Source organism: Homo sapiens, chromosome 4, assembly GCF_000001405.40.
Source record: "Homo sapiens chromosome 4, GRCh38.p14 Primary Assembly".
Taxonomy (NCBI): Eukaryota; Metazoa; Chordata; class Mammalia; order Primates; family Hominidae; genus Homo; species Homo sapiens.
Window position 1 is genome coordinate 128,867,827 of NC_000004.12, and position 17,824 is coordinate 128,885,650.

At 37.1% G+C, this 17,824-nt stretch overlaps 2 protein-coding genes across 18 annotated transcripts in view; one reads left to right on the plus strand and one right to left on the minus strand.

The window, feature by feature from the left end:
- The window catches only part of JADE1 (jade family PHD finger 1), a 65,525-nt gene extending 58,127 nt beyond the window's left edge, over positions 1–7,398 (plus strand). For 10 of the 13 annotated variants that reach the window (NM_199320.4, NM_001287437.2, XM_024454219.2 and 7 more), the window contains exons 10-11: positions 30–147; positions 3,529–7,398. In NM_199320.4, coding sequence (NP_955352.1) covers positions 30–147; positions 3,529–4,436 — 1,026 coding nt within the window. In that variant the 3' untranslated portion in view covers positions 4,437–7,398. The remainder of the gene's footprint in view (positions 1–29; positions 148–3,528) is intronic. The other 3 variants (XM_017008626.3, XM_017008627.2, XM_024454221.2) reach the window with 1 other exon arrangement.
- Positions 5,415–17,824, minus strand: part of SCLT1 (sodium channel and clathrin linker 1) — a 220,299-nt gene continuing 207,889 nt past the window's right edge. For 3 of the 5 annotated variants that reach the window (NM_144643.4, XM_017007716.3, XM_017007719.2), the window contains exon 21: positions 16,167–16,713. In NM_144643.4, the coding sequence (NP_653244.2) occupies positions 16,651–16,713 (63 nt within the window). In that variant the 3' untranslated portion in view covers positions 16,167–16,650. Of the gene's footprint in view, positions 8,811–16,166; positions 16,714–17,824 lie in introns of those variants that run through there. The other 2 variants (XM_047449590.1, XM_017007717.3) reach the window with 1 other exon arrangement.

The following is a 17,824-nucleotide window of genomic DNA, read 5'->3' on the forward strand; positions in this document are numbered from 1 at the left end:
ACTTAGAATCTTTATTCTCTACATTCTAGGTTCGGAACCTCACTTACATGGTGACCCGCAGGGAAAAGATTAAACGGTCTGTGTGCAAAGTCCAGGAACAGATATTCAATCTTTACACTAAGCTTTTGGAGCAAGAAAGAGTTTCAGGTATGCATTAAGCCCTGGTAGGTCAAAGTATAGGGCAGGGGTTTGTAAGCTTTAACACTGTTGAGGAAGAAATAATCATTTCTTAATTTTCTTATAGAAGAATTTAAGAAGCATAGACGTTCATATTTAAAGGAAGTCTTTAATTTGAGGCATCATGTTTAAGGGAAAAAGCTATGAATTTGCCCTCTATAAATATGGGTGGAATCCTGTGTTCTCTGCTTACTGAGCAAACACATGAAAGTCTTTTGAGTCTCCCTAATTTCTTCATGTGCAAAATGGAGATATCGCAAGCTACCTCTTGGAATTGAGAGACTAAAATGAAACAGTGACTTATATATTACACAGTACTTGGTAAACACATCATGGGGATACCTAACAGGTTTATATTCAGCCTTGGGCTCTATCTGTAACATGGTAAATATGGTCAATATATGTTAAGACTGTACTTAAGACACAGTCCATTTTTAGATAATGTTCACAGTAGATTTTTTTTGTGTAGATGGATTGTTGACTATTTCTGAGATTGAGCACCAAATATTTATTTAGTGTCTTCTATTTTATATTGCCCTGGGCTAGGCAAACAGAAAAAGAAAACTAGGGTATATACTTCCTCTACTCTGGACAACACATCAGTTACTTGGGAGATCAAGGGCAAAGATCAAGTTGGGCAGGTTGTTTAACCTCTCTGAGATTCCGTTGATCTTAAAGTTTGTTTTAGAATCAAGACCCCTTAAGTGCATTTGAGCCCTATATTCTGTGATCATAAGCCCCCAAAAGTAGGTAGTATAAGGATTTCAGAGAAGCAGAGCTGCTGAGTGTGGATCAGGCAGAATTAGGGACCCATGGAACAGGTAGGTCTTAGACTGGACTTCATTGGAAGATAGTCAGCCTCTCTCCTGCCTTGGACTGCCCTTTAAAGTTCTAGCTGCACCATTCTTGGTGCTTGCGTTGTGCAATCATAGTTGATTCACTCTTGTTTTTGTGCATTTGTGGCTTTTTGTCACTCCATCTAGATTATTATGGTGCACAGAGAACAAAGAAGTTGTTATAACCTGTTGTGTTGAAATCCAAATTCTGGTTTATCTAACCAATTATGTGCGACTAGAGGGAGCTCGGTCATCTGAAGAAATAAAAAAAGGTTTAGGGAGGTTTAAATAATGTTCTTGAAGTGTTACATAGTTTGAATGCAATAACTTGTTGATATCCTAGATATTTTCTTCCCAAGATTAAGTATTTTCCAGGTGAATCAAGTGTATATCATTAGCTGGAACTTGCAGTTTAATTGTTAAGATTTTAAAAATAAATTTTCTAAGTAGGGTGTCATATGTAAAAGTAGGTCGATTCAGATTCCCTAAGGTGAGCTCTCTCTTCATGATTCCTACCTGAATACAAATAAATGAGATCTGTTTAACTGCCTTGGAAGACTGTCTGGTGCAGATCACCGAGCCTACAGCAGCAAATGCTGAGCTGGGATCACTAATACAAGTTGTGCCTGTGGAGTTGTGCCATTGGAGGGCTTTCTGCAACTCTTAGGTCATTATGTAATGAGTGATTCCCTGTAAAAATAAGCCGTAAAGAGCATTTTCATCTGGTTTCATTTGAGTTATTTCTCATGGATATTGCAGGCAGGTTTTTGCATTTCATGGCTGAGGTTTTTACTGGGTGAGCGAATGATATTCTTAATAAGTCTGGGAGTTATTTTGTGGTAACAGAGCTGTAATGTAGATCTGCATTCAGAAGTCCTACTATTTCAGAAAAGGAAAACAAATCTTCCTTTCATTCTGATGTAAGAACCATAGGTATGATCAGTTGAAAACATTTATCTTCCTGTAGGATTCTGTTGAGTAATGCAGTTGAAACCCTTTAGGGTGCTTTTTTTCTTTTTCCAGTCCTAGGCTTCAGTCGTGTTCTTATTCATGCCTAAAGGCTGTCTCCTGCCTGAAGTAGAGCAGATGGTCATGATTTATATGTCATTTAGGGTCCATGGTTTAAACTCTGTGATTCTGAGAGTGGGTAGGGTCATTTGCTGAGAGTGTCCTCAGTGGCAACAGTGCTTATGGGGGGTGGGAGGGTCATGAGTTGGAGGCTCTTTAGAGACATGGATTACAGTCAAGGAGATAGAAATCAGAGTTCAGAAAATGTTAGCCTCTTCTTACCATTCTCTTTTCCTGTGGCAGGTGATTGAGTAAAAGAAATATATGCAGTGTGATGTGAAGGTTGATTCTAATGATTGATTCTTGAGAAAGCAGCATTTCCAAACCAGCAGGTTGTAAAACACCTCCTGTGGTCATGACAGCTCTGTGTTCTGAGTCGCTAGCTATGTTTCATTTGCTTGCAGTGTCTGTGTCTGGTGAGCACTAGGTTCTCATATGGCCTCCTGTCTCATAACCTGGGGGCTGAACCTTGTTTTCTTGGTGGCTCATATCTTATGGGAGACAGAAAACATGAGAACTGCTCTTTCTAGATGATCTTGAGGCTGTTGTAGAATCATGGTCTTTATGACAAACACTAATGTGTTATGAATTCACCTGCTAGGGGTAACAACTCATTAGTGGGTTGTGAGATGAATTCAGTGGGTCATGACCAGTATTAAAAACAAGTAAAGTATAATAGGAAATGTCAGAGTACATTATCAAATGATGAGGGTTAATATTATTTCGTGAAATGTGAACTCTTACTAGGTCATGCTGTGGAATTTAGTCACTGTGATTTGCATCAAAAAATACGAAAAACATCAATTTAACTTACTTCAAGTTGAATGACAATTCAGTTGAATCCCACAAATGTATTTTGCACATAATAATAATGAACATTTTTGGAACGCTTACTATGTGTCAAGAATTATTTCACACATTTCCTTTATTCATTCACATGTTTACATGTACTTGTCCTCGTAATAGCCCTGTGAGGGTACAGACACATAGAGAAACTTACAAGCCCCGAGCCCTGCTTTTTGGGTCCTCTCAGTCTCGTACGGGAGGCAGAAGACTGGACCGTGGAGGAGCGCGGCGCAGGTGCTGCTCTGTAACCAGGTAGAGGGAGCAGAGGCAGCCATCAGCCACCTGATGAGTTCTGCATGGAGTCCGCTCTGAAAATCAGATCAGTTATTTTGTTTGGAGGAGGTCTAGTTTTATGAAAAATTATGTGAGCTTCAGCTGTTTTAGAAAATGTGGCATATTGAGTCTGCAGATTGAATGGAGATTCTCAAGGCAGGTCATCTCTTCACTATAAAAACCAAATTTGTACAAACTTGGTGGTGTAAGTGTTGTGTTGTTGGGTGGGGAGTTCACATCAATTGGGCCACACTAAGGGTGTAGAATTTTATTCTTTTGGATTTGCTTCTGCTGTAATTTTTCTTTATTTGTGGTTTTATGTTTATAGGTGTGCCTTCTTCCTGCTCCTCCTCCTCACTGGAAAACATGCTTTTGTTTAACAGTCCTTCTGTTGGCCCTGATGCTCCCAAGATAGAGGACTTGAAGTGGCATTCTGCATTCTTCAGAAAACAAATGGGTACTTCCTTGGTTCATTCGCTGAAAAAGCCCCATAAGCGAGATCCTTTGCAGAATAGCCCTGGAAGTGAAGGCAAAACCCTGCTGAAGCAGCCAGACCTGTGTGGTAGAAGGGAGGGGATGGTGGTCCCAGAGAGCTTTTTGGGTTTAGAAAAGACCTTTGCAGAAGCACGTCTCATATCAGCACAACAGAAAAATGGTGTGGTGATGCCAGACCATGGGAAAAGAAGAGACAATCGTTTTCATTGTGATCTCATTAAAGGAGACTTAAAGGACAAATCTTTTAAACAGAGTCACAAGCCTCTCAGGTCCACAGATGTGTCCCAGAGGCATCTGGACAACACAAGAGCTGCCACCTCCCCTGGAGTGGGGCAGTCAGCACCTGGCACAAGGAAGGAGATAGTGCCCAAGTGCAATGGCTCCCTAATCAAAGTAAACTATAATCAGACTGCAGTCAAAGTGCCTACAACACCTGCCAGCCCAGTGAAAAACTGGGGAGGATTCCGGATTCCAAAGAAGGGGGAACGGCAGCAGCAGGGAGAGGCCCACGATGGGGCCTGCCACCAGCACTCAGACTACCCATATTTGGGCTTAGGCCGAGTTCCAGCCAAGGAAAGGGCAAAAAGCAAATTAAAATCCGACAATGAGAATGACGGGTATGTCCCCGATGTGGAAATGAGTGACTCAGAGAGTGAGGCATCAGAAAAGAAATGTATACACACCAGCAGCACTATCAGCAGAAGGACAGACATTATCAGGAGAAGCATCTTGGCTTCTTGATGCAACAGAGATGATGCGGAAGCCCTTTGGGCTCGTCATTGGGTTTGCTAGAGGAGAGCTCTGATGTGGGGGAGAAGCAGAAACCCATTAATCCTGAGCTACACAAACACATTTACTTGCAATTCAGATTAATTTTTTTCCAGAGTCATTTTTAAATCATTTTTGTGAGAAGTTTGTGTTATTTGCAACTTGTTGAGGAAACAGAAGAGTAGATTGTAACCATAAGACACTGCTAAGACTAGAACCCGAACTGAACACTAAAATAAAAATGAAATGTTTTAAAGAAGGCAAGGCTTAAATAAGCCTCATGAATTTTTATAGCCCTCTGCATTCTTCCCAAAGCACAAACTCATGGTTACCTGAATATAGGGAACCAGATATGGTTCTTGAGAAACCCTCATGGTACCATTCACAGCCCATAAAGTTTATTTTCTAGGACTGTGGTAGATCTTGAAATCATATTTATATTTGGCCCTCAAGGCTATTTTTGTTGCATTATAGCATATAGGCAGCAGCTCTGAAGCTTCAGTAACACTAAGAAATTTATGTGTAAATATAGCAGTCAGGGAAGAGAATTTTAAAAAAGGTCATTATTGAAGAAGCTGAGGGGACAGGGTAGAGCTGCTGCAATATGGAGATTTAGGGTAATATGGCAAGGTCCTGCTGCTTGAAGCCTGTGAGTGGGTTGTGGATATGGGACTGGTGGAGAGTGAGACTGTTAGGAAAGTTGTATCTATGAATAAGGGCAGTTGAAGTAGAATTTTTACCAGTCCACTTGACCTTCTTCTTCCCTAACCACTGGCTCTTGAGCCAGCTTGGGATTTCCCTGGCCATTGCCAATACCTGGCCATCTGGCTTCCAATAGTACAGTGGCTACTCAAGTTCAAGCGAAGAACTTCCAGACTCTGGTGACTGTTACTTCCCAGAGCCAACCACTAGTGCATATGTTAGGGAATCTGGGCTTCCAACATGAATGGATTCCTTAAGAAAAAGGAAAAAAAAAAAAAAAAGAAAAAAAGAAAAAAAAAAGAAAAAAGAAAAAAAGAGAAAAAAGCGAAATAGGTTATATTTTAAAAACAATAGAAAGGCAATAAGTTGCGATAAGCTCTTACTATTGACCAAGGTTATACAGGAAAGAGACTGAAGTGTACCCTTGAATAGGTTTTCTGTAGTCAGAGTTCTAAACTCTAATTTGTAACTTGGACTTTCTAATTGCAAATGGCAATAACTATTAAGTTATCAGCAATAATAAATTTAGCATTAAATTTGAGTACAATGTTTTGTTTTTGCACTCCCCATAGTGCGTATGTATTAAGACAGTGGATAGTGTTTAGGTCCTGTTAATTTTCTTTGGAATTCAATGTGGTTGTGAATCAAACTTAAGGAAGGAACGTTTAAATAGCAATGAGATACAGAATTATGGGCCTTTGGAACAAGCCCGACTTCCCCTAAATTCTCCTTAGTTTGTTAATACCAGTATTCAGATTCCTGATTCATTTATACATCTGTTTCCATATGGCAGGGACATTATGATACTTAATGAATAATGCTTTGAGGAGTTCTGCAGTTAACTTTCAAGTCTTCCAGATGATTGTCAACAACAAAAAAGGCTTATTGAATCCCATCTTGCTATGCAAGTTTTATCAGATGATCAAATAGTAGATCTGATACATCCCCATTGTATGTACGACATTTTCAAACCAAGTCTTAACTTTTCAAGGACATTTTAGTAGCTAATTCAGGGGAGGGGGAAGAATGATGCAGGTTTTTAGATTGACTGACTATTTTTGAGTTATGGGGCTCATTTTGAAAGACTGCTGTCCAGATCAGCTTGTTGCTGCAGATAATAGAAGGTTCTTATGAATCCAAGTTGTATATTCACTTGTAGGATAATTTAAAAATTAGATTTTTTTTGCATATGAGCAAAAACCTTTTGCTGGATACAGGAGAAGGTTGGACTTTATCTACAGTTATCTTTTGATTACAGCAACAGCTCTGGGTGAGAGTAGAATTTATAGAGGGATAATTTGTCAAGCCATAGAAAGAAAATCTAAATTAATCTAGTAAGTGTATGACCTCTCACCATTTTAAGAGGTATCAGATTCATTTGCACTATTAGGAATGCTAGTTTTGTGCAAAAATAATGCCTTACCTGTTTTTTCCCCACATTTAGGTTGAAAAGCTTTCAAATGTTCCAAGTTATGCTGAACCAAAAAAAACAAAACAAAAACAAAACAAAAAATATTAAAAAAAACCCACACAAAAACAAAACACACAAAAATAAAAAGCCCACACTTTTTATTCCTGCTTCGAAATGCAAATGGATAGAGCACGGTTTCTCTGACAGTATAATGATAGCTTTGTGAGTTAGTTTCATGTCATGCTGGGAACTCTCTATGAGGTGGCCATAAGCAGCAACCAGCCCAAACACCCACTTGCGTTCTATTAGTATGGAACCATTTGCATTTGTTTTTTTTAAGCTTTATCTTTCCTTGTGCATCCTGACCAAGAAATATCTTTGATTATGATTAATGTATTATGTCAAAATGTAGGCTAGTTAAACTTTTGTAAAGTTGCCTGGAATGTCATTTGTTAGGTTATAAACACAAGATCTAAATGAAGGGTTTTATGTGTTGTGTACAAATCTTATTTTGAAATGGACAAACTTGTCATTACATTTGTAACCTTGTACAGAGGATTTTTCACTATGTGCCTAGCTTGGTGTCCATTCAGCTAAAATTGAAAAAAAAAAAAAGGTGCATGAAGAGTTAAAAATCAAATTAAAGTATATGTAGAGATGACTATTTTATATTACATGACCCAATCCTGTATTTATTTCTACCCCCTTTTTGAAAGTATTTATAAAACTAGTTGAGGACAGCTGTATTTTTTTGTTGAACTATTTAGTAGAATTGTGCCTTTTTGTCTGTATGTGAATAAATGCTGTACATTTTGCAATACATTTTAAGTGTCTTTTGAAATCTGCTTTTGCTAAATATTTAAAGGTATATATGACTTAGCAGTCCTGAATCAGTTGTTTACTGTCTTCCACTTTAAATCAGGAATGAGAACTGTAGAGAACATATCAAATTTGTGCAGAGCACAGATTCACTGGGCTGCTTTCTGGCTCAACTCTGATGGCGAGACTGAAAAATAACGGTTTGAGTTTAGTCTTCCCCACCTGGAGTTCTTTCCAGAATACAGTTTTGGATCTGAAAACAGAATCGTTGAAACAACGTAGACTTCAGGGTCAGAGAGAACTGTATTTAAAGGCTAAACTATAGTTTACCAGGCACATGACATTGGCCAAGTCACTTAACCGTTTTAAGCCTCAGTTTTCCCAGAAAGAGGATAACATCTTAGTAACTTAGATATTGAAGTAGTTGTGATTATTTAAAGCAAGTCCATTGAGCACCTTACAGAGAGCATATATTAGGCATTTAGTAAGTGGTAGGCTATTATTTTTATTAGGAACAAGACACTGATGTTTACAATATTTTAACTAATGAGCTTTCTGAGGTGAAAAAATATTCCTGAATGATGGGACGGTTGTATTTTTAATACAACCTTTAAATAATTTTTAAAAATAATTTTTCAAAGAGCAGTTTCATTAAATGCTTTCTTTTGATCACAGAACTCTGGGACAGTAGGGCAAAAAAATATTATCTGCATTATACACCTTAAGACTTGGCCAAGATCACAGCAGTAGGTACTGGCAGAACTGGGCCTACACTCTCATTCTCATTTCTGAAAAGATTGTTTCCTGCCTGAAACAATCTTTTGTACATCCACTACATGCAGAAATTAGCATATAGTGAAATGCACCTTTTTCTTTATGTTGGGAACAGCAAAACTGGTGTGAATTATGCATTCTCATGTAGATTATAATGATTAGGATCCAAAACAGGGTAGCTATCTTAATCTAATTTATAATTTTTGTAAGGATTTGGCCAGTTTAAAAGAAAAAACAATTATTCGTACATTTTGCTAAAAGCTTCTCATTTCTCCTTAGTGACTATTTACTTCCATATTGCTTGCTCTGAGTAAGACCCCTGAGAGAAACAACTGATTCTTCCTACAAGGTCTTAAAGTTGAATAACCACAATAGTTCCCTAGGGAAATTAAGTCCCCAGGAGCCAAAGGAAGGGCCTATCATTGGCAGCTGTGCAATCTGTGATGGGAAATGTCACACCAGGGACTCACGTTCATGTTTTCACCCAAATCACTGAAAAAACAGTTTCTACCTTTGAAGCATTAGCCATCTGCAACAAACTTCACAATTAACTTCAAGGTTGAAATCTTCAATATGATTTCCCTTTAATGCTCAGAACTCCATTAGATGATGTGTTCTAGTCTGAGGTAGGCTTTGATTGTCTGGTCATTGAAAAAGAGGATAAAGGCAAATCCAATGGTATCTACTTCCTTCACTTCAACTGTTCCCTGTACTACTTACTCAGTTTGGTATTTCTGCAATCCAGCTTTTCTGGAGTGTGAAGAGATTGCTTATTGGGCATCCCCTCTTGGATGTATACAGGTACTTGAGATTTTGGAACTCTTTCTATATCCTGTTTTAGAGAATGTCCTCCTAGACTGAAACCTGGGAGTCCTTTATGAATTCTTCAACTCTCACAGCCAAATAGTGATCAAGGCCTGTGTATTACATTTAATATTGCCTTAATATTTTTTGCTTCGATCCCACCACCATTTGCTATATAATTCAGGTCTCTTCATTTTTTGCCTGGATTACTGGTTTCCTTAACACAAGTCTTGCTGAAATTAATCTCTCCAGCATTTGGCTGAAGCCTTGCCAATGGTATCTCCATAGTGATGACTTCTGAAATAAAAGCTGATTTTGTCATTCCACATAGCCTTTGGGGGAACCTCCTGACTTCTGTAGATAATTACAAAGGTTTATCAAGTGGCAGGCACTGGTATGTATTATGTTAATTAGTTTAATCCTTATAACGTGAAGTAGGCACTATTATCTCCAATTTACAGATGAGGAAACTGAGGCACAGAGAAATTAAGTAATTTGCTCAAGGTCAGTAGGGGTAGATCTGGGATTCAATCCCAGCCTGTCTGGGATTGAGACCCGTAGGCTGTACTGCCTCTCAGAATATAAAAATAGTTCACACATGGCCGGGTGCAGTGGCTCACGCCTGTAATCCCAGCACTTTGGGAGGTGGAGGTGGGCAGATCACGAGGTCAGTAGTTCGAGACCAGCCTGACCAATATAGTGAAACCCTGTATCTACTAAAACTACAAAAAATTAGCCAGGCGTGGTGGCACACGCCTGTAATCCTAGCTACTCAGGAGGCTGAGGCAAGAGAACTGCTTGAACCTGGGAAGTGGAGGTTGCAGTGAGCTGAGATTGTGCCACTGCCCTCCAGCCTGGGTGACAGAGTGAGACTCGGTCTCAAAAAAAAAAAAAGTTCACACAAAGTAGTTAGCATATTTAGGACTACACGTGTAAACTTCAGTTAAATGAATTGGTAAATTTATTGGTAAAGCCAATAAACTTGGTTAAAACATGTTAATGCACTGGTTAAAAGACTTTGAGTATAACCTAATAGATAATGAGCAGGATAGTCTGCTTACAGTCAATTAGTTCCAGCCTTATTCTAGGGAGAATGGAATTAATTGTCACATGCATATTTATGTAACACACATACATACAAACATATTTACAGATCAAATATATGTATATGTAATCAAAGAAAACAACACTGCTATCAAAGAATAAAAAGAATAACTGAACTCTACATCCTAACTGCTTGGAAAGTTAGTTACAGAAATACTTAAAATCACATAGTTTCTTGATGTTGAGAACTAATATCTTAACACTAAATTAAAGCTACGTAAAACCTCCAAGTCGGCATTTTTGTGATATGAAGTATAATAAATCCAGTTATTTTTACAAATGAATAAGCAATGCAGAATTAAGTAGCAAAGATAAAAATAATGTGTATTGTCATTCCTAATGTATCGCCAATGTGTCCTGATATTCTCACTACTACTTGGCTTATATATGGCCGAGTTTTACAAATTACATTTATAATTATGGGTTAATGTGATTATTTTACTCACTAATCTGGGGTGATTGATAGTTCTAACTTCAGGATTATGACCAGTGTAAAACAATTTCTTTATGAAGCAAATCTTTTTCTTTGGTGTTTCCCTTCCCATGCAACAGTTTCAAAGAGAGCTTTTCTCCTTTTTCCCACCAACTTTGGCTCTAATTCAGTTCCATCCTTGGAGCTTCTCTTTTTTATATCAAAAGCTTGTGATGGTATCTTTGCCTCAACTAGTCTCAAGTACTCTAAGTAAATACCTTTCAAACTCCATACTTTAAAATATCACACTCTGAAAGGAAATTATGCATTATATCACTTTACAATAACTAAACACAATTTAACATTTTTTTGGTCGATTAAAATTGGTGAAATTGTCATCACTCATTGAAGAAATCTGGAAACTTTCAAAAGAGGTATTAAGCTAATTATTATAACTTCCTTTGCTTAGATCTATTTTTTTCTACTACTTTACTTACATTTAGCTTGTGGCCAATTTCTTTTCTAGGTCTGGAAAATTTACCAAATCCCACTAGATACGAAGATACTTTGTTCTAGCAAGTTTTTAGGGCTATATACATAATCTGAAAACCAAAAGAGCTTTTCGGGTAGTGCCAGTCAGAAAGGGAATTAAAACAAAAAGAGGCTCACTCGGGAGGGGGGAGGGATAGCATCAGGAGATATAACTAATGTAAATGACGAGTTAATGGGTGCAGCACACCAACACGGCACATGTATACATATGTGACAAACCTGCACATTGTGCACATGTACCCTAGAACTTAAAGTATTAAAAAAAAAAAAGCTCACAGCTCAGACTTGTTTTAAGGTTGATGAATGAAAAAGTGGAAGTAGAATTTTTTGAAACCTATTTGGCATCTATATGTTCAATCAAGAACGCTGATCCTTGAACTGCAAGGACAGAGTGGACACTGGTAAGATGATGAGGGTCACTTGAAGTCTAGAATGTGTGAAGCATTTACATGAGAGCATCTAGATGTTTACAGTGAGTTCAAGCCTCCTGACCCAGATGAATTACATCCCATGACACTTGGAGAACCTATAAAGGTTACTTTTGAATCACTGTCAGCAAATGGGAGAGGTGTCAAAATTATAAATTCCTCAAACTCTAAAGATACAATGTTGCACAATAGTACAATTCTGGTGTTGACCAGATCTGGTCCAGCTGTGCCACCTGCCAGCTATGTGACCCCGAGCAAATGATTTAACTTTTACTATACCTCATATCTTTGGAAAGGAAATAACACCTACCTAGAAGGGCTGTCGAACTATATGAGGTAATAAATGCAAAATGTTAGCATGATGCACAGCACATGACAGATGCTCCACAAACAGACATTATTAATACACATAAGCATGTTACCATAATCCAGAGAAACTCTCCACTGGATTGTTTTAGTTATTTGAAGAAATATGCTTATAACTTCTCTTATTCTCTTTTATCCCATAGAGTAGTTTAAATGAAAGGAGATCTAGTCTCACTTTTAATCTTCCTAGATGTAAATATTAAAGATTTCCTTATATTTTATATTATGCTCTGATAACTTTTTCATTCACTGAAAAAAGGACTGTGCTGCCATAGAATGAAAACATTGAACGAAAACTTCCATAATGCCTTATCAAAGGAATTAAAGAGTTTTAACAAACATAAAAGGAACATGCTGTGATTACTAGGATGCCACATGGATTTACTAAGAAGGCTAACTTACTTTTCATTTTGGACAGGATTACTAGATTACATCTGGAAAATATGACTAGTATGGCATAAATGAATTTTTGCTTGGCAGAAGGCTGGATTTTTCTTGATGTTGTTATGCTAGTGTACAAGTAGCAGTATGGGCCAGATTAAAAACGGGTTGAATTACCACATCTGACATGTGCTGATCAGTTTTATCCATTAAGGGAGTTGGTGCTTGGTATGCTCTAAGACTGTCTATATTTCAATCTGTCTGGTCCTCTTCTTTTTTTCAATGGTTCGAATGAAAATATGGGTAGCATGTTTATCTGATGTGTGGCTAGCATTCATTGTAAATCAAAAATTGCCTGTGGTGCAATAAATATGGCAGTAAATAAAGACAGACATGGCCCCTATCATACCTTTAGAGCTATCAAATGAGGTAACAGAATTAGGAGCTAAAATGACCTCAGCAGGTTATAATAATGTAATTAAATTTAATAGGGATAAATAACTAGTCCTGCATTTGGGCAAAGATCTGGCTTAGAAACAAAACCTTTGAAAAAGACTTAGGATTTTAGTTGATAACACGCTCAATATCTGTCCAACAGTGTGATTCAACTTTCCCTCCAAAAAAGCTAACATAATTTTAAGCTGCATTAATGGAAGTGTAAACTATAGAATAGTAATTCACATTTTTTCCTCATCCTAAACCCTGAAAAATATTATATATGTACATTTCAATGAATCACTAACTACAGTGACCCTCGAAGCATGATTTCCTAAGAAAGTATGTTTCGCAATCTTCTTGGGGTGGGGAAAAGAGAAAGGGTACATAGTTTGAAGCCGTATCTATTCTCTGGAGATCTAATAAGTTGTCTGCTTACACATAGGCAAGTATCACACATGGGGGGCACCTATGAGAACGTGGGGCACATGTGAGTGTTTTGTGGTGAATTCTTGAGCTAGAGGGTACCAGTGTTGTAAAAAATTTCTTTTCAGATGCCTTTCTGTCCTATGACTTTTATTATCTAAGCATATTTTTCTTCGTTATATAAATATTATTAACATTGTCCCCAAAGCCATATATTTTTCTAAGGTTTAAGGGATGGTAAGGGACAGGTTTTTATCTGTAACTTCAGGGTACTGCAATCTCTCTGTCTACATGTTGTTTATGTGTATGTATGTATGTTTTAGGTAAACTAGACAAACTTAATTATTTTTGATAAAAATTTTTGCAAAAAAGCTCATTACAAATTTATTTTGAAAAAAATGATAAAAGACATTATGGTTAAAGAACAGCATTTATAGTAAAATGTTTAAAGTGTTTTTTCACTCTTTCTTGATTTGAGAGTTGGTTTGGCAAGACTGTGTAACTATGAAATATTTAATATTTGCAGACTTAATGAGTGACTGAATTGTTGCTAATGTTTTCCAATGTTTGGGGTGGTTATAATTCTCACACCAGAGAAGAAATTAGAAGATTGTTGCCTGCCCTAGTTTGCATATTTGTATACAAAGGGAAGAAGAGGTAATCATATCTCCTTTCTTCTTCAGGGAGAAACAATAAAGAAACATGAATAAATAAAATGAACTAGCTGTGTTGTCCTCAATTGCAGATCTATATCATTTCTTACCTCTCTTTCCTACTCATTTCTCCTGTATAGTAAAATACAGTTCACAGAATGATACTATTTGTATCATTTATAAGTGAAGACTGACCTGTATGAGAAGTGTTAAAAACTCCACTACATTTTTACATTGGAAATTATTAACAAACTTTTCTGAAAAGAAAAAAACCATCAAGTTTAGTTCTGTTGCTAAACATAGCTTAAGCCTGTTCAAATTCAACAGAGGTCAGAAAGGCATATTATCTGCATATTAGCAGCCTATTCTTCTCTTGGAGAATATCTAAGTACGCAAGGAGATCCAAGAGAAGATGGGTTATCAGGATGTGAAGAGTAGTTACCTGTGGCCAAAGTTTGGAGAAAGTATCTATGTTCAGAGATTTTACCTTGAAAAAATGTGTCTGGAAAGTTAGATTTTTTTGAAAAAGTATAATAATATAATACTTATATTCCATTTGCTAGAGTGTTAGTTTCTGAAGTGCTTTCTTCTACAGTCTCATACTTTTGTCAGACATAAAATTCTAACATCCCTAAAATTTTTAAAAAACAAATTCTATGTTCTATAAATATGAATATGAACATAACTCTTACTACATGGAAATTAGTCTGTGAATGACCTGGGAAGGAATTTAAAGAATCAAATGAAAAATTCTTTAAGAAATGAAAATAAGCTATGTGCCTCCCATCTGATTACCATTTAACTGCCATATAGGTATGATTTGGTCTCATCATCGCATTTGATACTATCAACCATGTGCCTTCCTTGAGTGTTTTATCATGTTGGAGTCTCTTTGTTATGACCCTCTCATTTCTCCTATTTAGTCTCCTTTAATGACATCTTTGTGAGTTCATTCAACAAATAAAGACATTCCTTAAGGTCCTGTTCTTAAAAACTCAGTTTTTGAAAAAGGAGTTATTGAATACCCTCCAAGTGCCAGGGACTATATTGGGTGCTAGGGATAAAATGAATGACAGTACATGTGGTCTTAGAGAGCTTGTACTCTGTTGGGGGGAAGATGACATTAAAGAAAATATTCCAAAAAGAAAGAGTTAACTACAAATTTTGACAAGTGCTATGAAGGGAAACTACGGTGCACTATTAAGAGCAATATAAGAAGGGGATCTTACTGAGGCTAGGGAAGGCCTCTGAGGAACTGATATTTGAGTAGAGATCTGAAAAGTGTATAGATAAAAAAGTCCATGCAGATGCCAGACACGGTGGCTCAGGCCTGTAATCCCAGCACTTCGGGAGGCCGAGGCGGGCAGATCACCTGAGGTCAGAAGTTCGAGACCAGCCTCACCAAGATGGTGAAACCCCATCTCTATTAAAAATAGAAAAATTAGTGGGTGTGGTGGCGGGTGCCTGTAATCCCAGCTACTTGGGAGGCTGAGGCAGGAGAATCGCTTGAACCTGGGAGGCAGAGGTTGCAGTGAGCCGAGATCATGCCTCTGTACTCCAGCCTGGTGATGGAGTGAGACTCTCTCAACAACAACAACAACAAAAAAAAAAAAAAAAAAAAAGTACATGCAGAGAGACCCTGTATTGGGAGGGAGGATTATATATTGACAGAAGTAAAAGAAGGCCATCCAAGTCAGAGCATAAGAAATGGAGGGGAAGAATAGTGTGGGAGGAAGCTGAAGAGATTGCTATTCACATCATGGAAGGCCCCAAGGGAAGCTCTTCCACTTCCACAGCTTCAATTCTCAGCTCCACGCAGAAGACTCCTATCACACACCCGGGCCTGTCGAGGGGTGAAAGGGTAGGGGAGGGACAGCATTAGGAGAAATACCTAACGTAGATAACGGGTTGATGGGTGCAGCAAACCACTATGGCACAGGTATACCTATGTAACAAACCTGCATGTTCTGCACATTTACCCTAGAACTTAAAATATGATAATAATAATAAAAAAAGATTCCTATGACTATCTTAACTGTTAGCACCATTACTAAATTTCTGACTGATGGCTGAATATCTACACGTGAATGTTTTCATGTCACCTTCAACTCAAACTCATTATCTTTTATCTGGACAACTGCAGCAGTCTCCTAATTGGTTATCCAGATGCAAACCTCTCTGCTTTAATCAACAGAAACCAGGGTGCGCTAAGTTCAAACCAGAGAATAGGAACATGTATCTATGAAGATCAATAGGACTTCAATAGTTCAATGCCATGCAGTCTTAGCACCTAAGATCTCCATTTGATTAGTATTGCTTTAAGTAACATGTAAAAGACACCTTCCAAATTCTTAAATATCAAGTTCCATAAATACTGAAAACCGTAAGTTAAAAATGAAGCACTACAATCATACATTAAAATACATGACAGCATCATTTTAGAAAGTGCACAATTTATTACATTTATGAGTTCATAATAAAATGGATACTTAGGAACTTTAAAAATGAGTTAGAAGTAACAATTAGATGTAAAATTCTCAAATCTTGGAAACTGAAATATTAAATTCTAGAATTTTCTTAAAAACTCTTTCTTATGAAAGAGAAATTTGCATAGTTTGAAAATTATTATGTCCTTTCAAGGGAAAAAGGAGGAATTAAAAAACAGACACATTGATGAAGGCAATGAGTTCTTCTCAGCTGGTTTATTCTCCACTGAAGCTCAATATAGGATTATATTTTCTTTACTTACAGGAAGTGGTCACTGCTCTGTTTTCCAATAACCCTCAAAACAGAACAACAATGCTTACGCGAAATAACACAAGCCTTAACTATTATACTTTGCAGGCTTTACCATTTCAATACACTTCTAGTCCAACTGCTTTCCCAACTCTAAAGTTCTGTGAGTGAACTATGAATATTTTTAAATATTTTCCAGATTCATCAGGGAGGCTGCTTTTCTTCTCTGCACTGTAATCACACTGAGCTGCAATTAAAATAAACAATCGGTAAGTAGTTACTTTTTCTGTGGAAAATCTTAGATTAATACAAAGAAGAATGCATCACAACCTATAAGTACTGAAATGGTCTTATTGGAAAGGGTTTTGTAAATGATCTTTTTCTTTTTGAGGCAATCTTGCTCTGTTGCCCAGGCTGGAGTACAGTGGTACAATCACAGCTCAATGTAGCCTTGACCTCCCAGGATCAAGTGATCCTTCTACTTCAGCCTCTTCAGTAGCCACTACACCTGGTTAATTTTAATTTTTAATTTTTTTCAGAGACAGGGTCTCACTACGTTGCCCAGACCAGCCTTGAACTCTTGGGCTCAAGCAATCCACCCACCTTGGTCTCAAAGTACTGGGATTATAGGTGTAAGCCACTGTGCCCAGTCAGTGATCATTTTAAAATTAATTTCTATTTTACTCTTGAAACTTTAAAATGTCTATTAATTTAGAGAAATGCAGGTCAAATAAGACATTCTATAGCTCAGGGTGATACGCTTAGAATTGTAAAACATATTCCAGATGGATGAAAAACATCTACATAAAAGTTAATCAGGAAAGTTTCTAAAACACAAACTAATGTAAGCCAACACAATGCAAGGCTGATAATAAAGTGATGATAGATTATAACAAGTCTAATAGAAAAATAATCTTTAAATGTTAGTAGGAATTAATAACATATACACATAGTAAAAAAAGATCTAACAGTACAAAACGGTAGACAGCATAAAGGAAGTCTCGTTCCCATTGCTGTCTTTCATTCCATAGACCCCTCTCCAGATACAACCACTATTTCCAGTTTTAAAGTATGTTTCCGTAAATATTTTAAATGAGAATATATGTATTTCTTCATTCCTTTAATTTAAAAAATGATGAAAGTATTATAAACACTTTTCATCTTGTGTTTTTCTTCTAAATAATCTACCTTAGAAATAGCTCTATATTAGGCCTACTATACTTTATTCCTCTTAATAGCTGCAAACTGTTCCTCTGTGTGAATACTCCATATAACCAGTCTGCTATTGTTGGGTATTTGTATGGTTTTTAATCTTTTAAAAGGAGAGACAATGCTTCAATCAGTATTTTTATATGTTT